We start from the raw sequence: 5536 nt of genomic DNA, 5'->3' as shown, positions 1-5536 counted from the left end.
TTCCAAACAACATTACATTTAACCTTTTTCTGGAATCTAAAGAAACTACTATATGGTGTTATTGTTACATACTGAATCTTCATTCTATTTCCATTTTTTAATCAAGTCATTTCATTAATTCCTTCAACAAATACATTTTGTTCACTTTTAAAATTGTTTATAATTTATTCAACAAACATATTTACTTGATGCCAAATTTCCTTTCTTAAGGCACTCAAAGCATAATAGAAAGAGAGACAATTTTCCCAATAGCATAAAAAGTATTAGGTGACAGATAAAGAAATGATATCTAAGCTGAGTCTCAAGGGACAGGTAGGCTGGCAGGATGCGGAGGAGGGTGTCCCTGGTAGAGAGGGCAACATTGAAAAGGCAGGGCGGGATTAGAGTTCATTGCACAATACAGGGGTGACGAGGAGTTCATTACAGCCGTAGCAGAGGCTGCAAGCAGGGTAAGTGGGAAAAGAGGCTGGAGCCTGCAAGATGAGAACAATGTCACGCCAAGGATGATGGGCATGTTCTTAAAGGCCAAGTACAGAGTGACATGATTATATTTTATTTTTTTAAATGTTACTTTGGTAGCAGGATAAAGTTTGGATCAGAACAGTACAAGACTGATGCTGGGAGACTGTAAGGAGGCTATTTTAAGAATCCAAGTAAGAAATAATGGGGGCTTGAACAAAGGCAGTGAAGGAGGAAAGAAGAAAACAGACTCCAAAGACTACAAAACTAGACTCCGCAGGACTTAGTAAACCACTTAGAAATTGAGTTGTTACTCCTTGTCATATATATAAAATATCATATATATTTAAAATCATATTAAAAATATTTTTAAATAACAGTTATTTTTAAATAACGCGGTTATTATTAGGTGGTAATGTTATAGGTGATTTTTAATTTCCTTACTTTTTAAAATCTGTTTTCTTATGAATTATTAACAGAGGCCTTATACAAATTTTGTAATAACAAAAAACAATTATTAAAATAAGTAAAGACAGCACAGTACCATTTGGCACAGCCAGATAGATTTTTATTTCTAGATAGTGTTCTCTAATAAGAGGAAACAGAGCTTCTTGGAGAAATGGCTGATTCCAGGGCTGGGCCAGGGTGAGTACAAGATGAGCCCTAAATATCTCATGATGCCAGGACACAAGAAAGTGCCTGACAAAATGTTGGAGGCATGTTAAATGGAAACAGGGGCCTCCATCAGCCAAGTTTGAACAATTCATCAGCGAAGTTTGTCTGGCTAGAGTTATCACATTAAGCATATTAGAAATTAAAATTGAAAAATAATATTTAATAGCCCATTTTAAAATAGTAATATGTTATTTGTTAATGTAACATATTTTTGTAAAAAATAACTATATTTCCAAAAAAATTGGTTGTGAAGAATTGTTTTATACTTCATAAACAAAATAATCATACCAACAGATTATAATCTGTGACCAAGGTTCACCCGGCAAATGACTCCTGGCCTCTGCTTTTCTGTGTCAGTACCTGGAACTGTGGGTGAGAGGCGTCCTCCAACAGACCGGTCTCTGCCTTTCTTTTCTGCCCACCTCCTGTTGGCTGCCCCCAAACTGCCTTGTACATAGAAATATCTTCAGTTTCTTAGAAGAGATGCTCTTCTTTAACATATCCTTACCTCATCACCTCGTCTGCTTGGAATTTCCCCCTTCCCACTACCTGTCACTCTCCTTCCTTCTCACTGCACCCTTCTTGCAGGTGAGTTCTAATTCCATTAGCAATCAGCCCTCAACTAAAGCCCCATCCCCATGGAAAGTCCGCCCTGGCCCCTACTTTCCTCCATTTTACTCTCATTCTCAGCTGCCCAGGCAGAGATGGGCTTTCCCTCTTCTGCCCTCATTTGGACCTTTAAATACCTTTCTTTTTTTTACTAATTACACTGTAAGGTATTTTGAGTGTATATCTGAGTCTCTCCCTGGAGATTCTAAGACTCTGGTTAAGGACAGGTTTTATTTGCCTTTTGTACCTCCAGGACTAAGTCTAGTGCCAGCATGTAGAATAAATACAAGAGTTCTAGACTGAGTAAATAGAAAGAAGAAACAGATTATAATCTAGAGAATAAAATAAGAATCCTTGATTCTATAACTCTTATAATGGAATGGATAAGTAAACAGGTGAGGGAGAAGAAAAAGCACTTCCTTACCACTGAATTCCAATGAAACAATGCAGAAGGAACAAAGAAAATAGAAAATCACCTCTGTAAAAATTGTTTCAGGCAAGAATCAACAGCAGTTGCTAAAATCAGTGGACAGGAGTATCATGAATGACATACAGAATAGCTCTATAAGTCTCATAGTGTCTTCTCACAAGAGTAAAACAGCAGGCGAAAAAATCTGACAGACTTCACGGGACCAAGTTATAATTTAACATCACCAGTAATGAAAGAAATTGACATCATTTGTCTCCTGATGTGAGGTACCAAAGGGACACAGCACAGGTTCTGTGGTATTCTTACAAAAAATGTATGATCTGAATTTAACCACGAGGAGGCATTAAAAAATTCCAGATCAAGGGCCCTCTTTTAAAATAACTGGCCAATACCTTTTTATTTTTTTGAGATGTTGTCTTGCTCTGTCGCCCAGGCTGGAGTGCAATGGTGCGATCTTGGCTCACTGCAAACTCCGCCTCCTGGGTTCAAGAGATTCTCCTGCCTCAGCCTCCCGAGTAGCTGGGATTACAGACACATGCCACCACACCCGGCTAATTTTTGTATTTTTAGTAGAGACGGGGATTCGCCATGTTGGCCAGGCTGGTCCGACCTCAGGTGATCCACGCGCCTCAGCTTCCCAAAGTGCTGGGGTTACAGACGTGAGCCACCACACCTGGCCTGGCCAATACTTTTTAAAAGCATCAAGATATCAAGAGTAAATATCAAGTATCAAGACAGATAAATAAAGAATGATAAAGAAAGAGGAAATGTTTCAAACTAAAGGAAAATAAAGGGGCACGATGACTAAATCCAATGTAAAATCCTGGATTGGATCCCAGATAAGAAAAAAAAAATTAGAAAGAATTGGGTCCATGAATTAGATCAGCAGTTCTCAACATTTTGGTCTTATGATCCCTTTACCTGTCTAAAATATATTAAGAACCCCAAAAGCTCTTGTTTATGGCTGGCTATAGTGATCACATTAAGCATATTATAAATTAAAATTGACAATTAATATTTAATATTATTATTTAAAAATAATAATATATTACTTCTTAATGTAACATATTTTTGTAAAAAATAACTATATTTTCCAAAAAGAACAATTATTGTGAAGAGTGGCATTGTTTTACACTTCTGAAAACCCATTTAATGTCTGGCTTTCTGGAAGGAAATTTGTTTCTCTGCCTGTGCACACAGTCCGTTCACATGTCATAAAGCCTCAGGAAAACGCATGAGAAAATGAAAGCGAAGAAGGAAAATCATATGTAGCATTATTATGAGCAAAGTTTGGACCTGATAGTTTCCCTGAAAGTTTTTTGAGAACCCCTAGGGGTTCCTGGACCACATTTTGTGAACCATTGCTTTAGATAATAGCATTGTTGTCAAAGCTAGTTTCCTGATTTTGACAGTGAGACTGAGATTATGTAAAATGTTAACATTTGAAGAATCTGGATGAAGAGTATAGGTGAATTCTTTGTATTATTTTTGTAACTTTTTTTTTTTTTTTGGAGACATAGCCTCGCTCTGTCACCAGGCTGGAGTACAGTGGCCTGATCTTGACTCACTGCAACCTCCGCCTTTCAGGTTCAAGCAATTCTCCTGCCACAGCCTCCTGAGTAGTGGGACTACAGGCGTGCCACAATGCCCAGCTAATTTTTTTATTTTTAGTAGAGATGGGGTTTCACTATGTTGGCCAGGATGGTCTCAATCTCTTGACCTCGTGATCTGCCCACCTCGGCCTCCCAAAGTGCTGGGATTACAGGCGTGAGCCACCATGCCCGGCCAATTTTTGCAACTTTTTTGTAAGCCCGAAAACATTTCAAAATGCAAAATTTAAAAATACAGTAGTAAACATTAAATAAGTAAAGCATTTCAAATTTCAAAAGCTGAGGAAAAATACATAGAGATAGAGGGAAGCTGGAATCAAGAATAAATTCCTGGTTTCTGGATAGACGTTGGCAGGGGTAATATTCGAAGTATTTTTCAACCAGTATGGCATTGGTACTGACACAGCAAAAGCCCACGAGCAACCATGACAGTTCTACCAGTACACATCAGCTAAGGCTAGTGCTATTGCTAAACTGGAGAATATAAGAGGAGAAATAAGCGGGGGAGCTGGTGGGGGAACGGGCAGAAAAGGCATGTTGCGAAAGATGGCAAGTTTTATTCTGAATTGACCTCAATTTGAAGGTGAAATGCAAGTGACAGGAATCCCACTAGAATTAGTTAAGATCAAGGGGAAACTTACTGGGAGGCTCACATAACTACAGAAAATGAATGCTTACTGAGCCTCGCTGAGGATGAAACACTTTCAGTCTCCCTTTCTCTTTCTTTCTCTCATCTCTGCTTCATTCTCTTCTACTGCCACCTGGCATTTCCACTGAGCAGGGAACATGACCACAAACGATTCATGAACCTTACTTCTCCATCCCCAGAAAGAGCCCAATCTCTAATCCCAAATTCAGTAATACTGGGAAACCAGTCTAATTAATCCAGTTGGGTCACTGATTGGCCCATTCTTGGACCAATAGAAGGTGGCCAGGAAAATGAGGAACTATGATTGGCCCAGCACAGGTCAGGGGCCTTTCTTACCTCGAGCATTTCCCTCTCTTCCAGAGAGACAGAGCCAATAAGAAATTTCATTCAAATTACATGTTTGAAAGGATAGCTTCCCATTGGACCAGTGTGGCTACTCTAAGCAGACAGTATAGTAGGTGGCCACTTCATAGTCCCTGTGGGGAGAGATTCAAGCGGAGATTGCAGGAAACCTTTGAATATATCTTAAAACAAAATCTGAGCTGACGATAAAAATTAAGGTTTCATCAGCACATATGTGATCTTTATATTCCCATTAAATGGCAACTCTCTATTCTCCCCCACCCCAACCCAACCCTTGGCAACCACCATTCTGCTCTGTTTCTATGAGTTTAACTATTTTATTTATTTTGTAGTTTTCTTTTCTTTTTTCTTTTTTTTTTTTTTTTTTTTTGAGATGGAGTCTTGCTCTGTCGCTCAGGCTGGAGTGCAGTGGCGCGATCTCGGCTCACTGCAACCTCTGCCTCCCAGCTTCCAGCAATTCTCCTGCCTTCAGCCCCCCAAGTAGCTGGAACTATAGGCGCACGCCACCATGCCCTGCTAATTTTTTTGCATTTTATTAGAGACAGGGTTTCATCATGTTGGCCAGGCCAGTCTCAAACTCCTGACCTCAAGTGATCCTCCCACTTCGGCCTCCCACAGTGCTGGGATTACAGGCCTGAGCCACCATGCCTGGCTGAGTTTAACTATTTTAAGTATTCCATGTATTAATAAGTGGAATCATGCAGTATTTGTTCTGTGACTGCCTTATTTCACTTAGCATAA

The 5536-nt window shown here is 39.3% G+C and overlaps 1 annotated feature.

Annotated features, from left to right (window-relative positions):
- Nucleotides 4862–5031: an enhancer, noted in NCBI's record as "experimental_18652 CRE fragment used in MPRA reporter constructs". NCBI's record gives its function as "activates a minimal promoter by MPRAs in K562 erythroleukemia cells, with activity observed for the introgressed 11:102504104 variant allele {active_cell/tissue: K562}" and the evidence as "EXISTENCE:reporter gene assay evidence [ECO:0000049][PMID:34662402]".

The sequence above is a fragment of the Homo sapiens genome, chromosome 11 (genome assembly GCF_000001405.40).
Source record: "Homo sapiens chromosome 11, GRCh38.p14 Primary Assembly".
NCBI lineage: Eukaryota > Metazoa > Chordata > Mammalia > Primates > Hominidae > Homo > Homo sapiens.
Note: the sequence above shows the minus strand (reverse complement) of the source record. Positions and strands in the feature narration are given on the sequence as shown.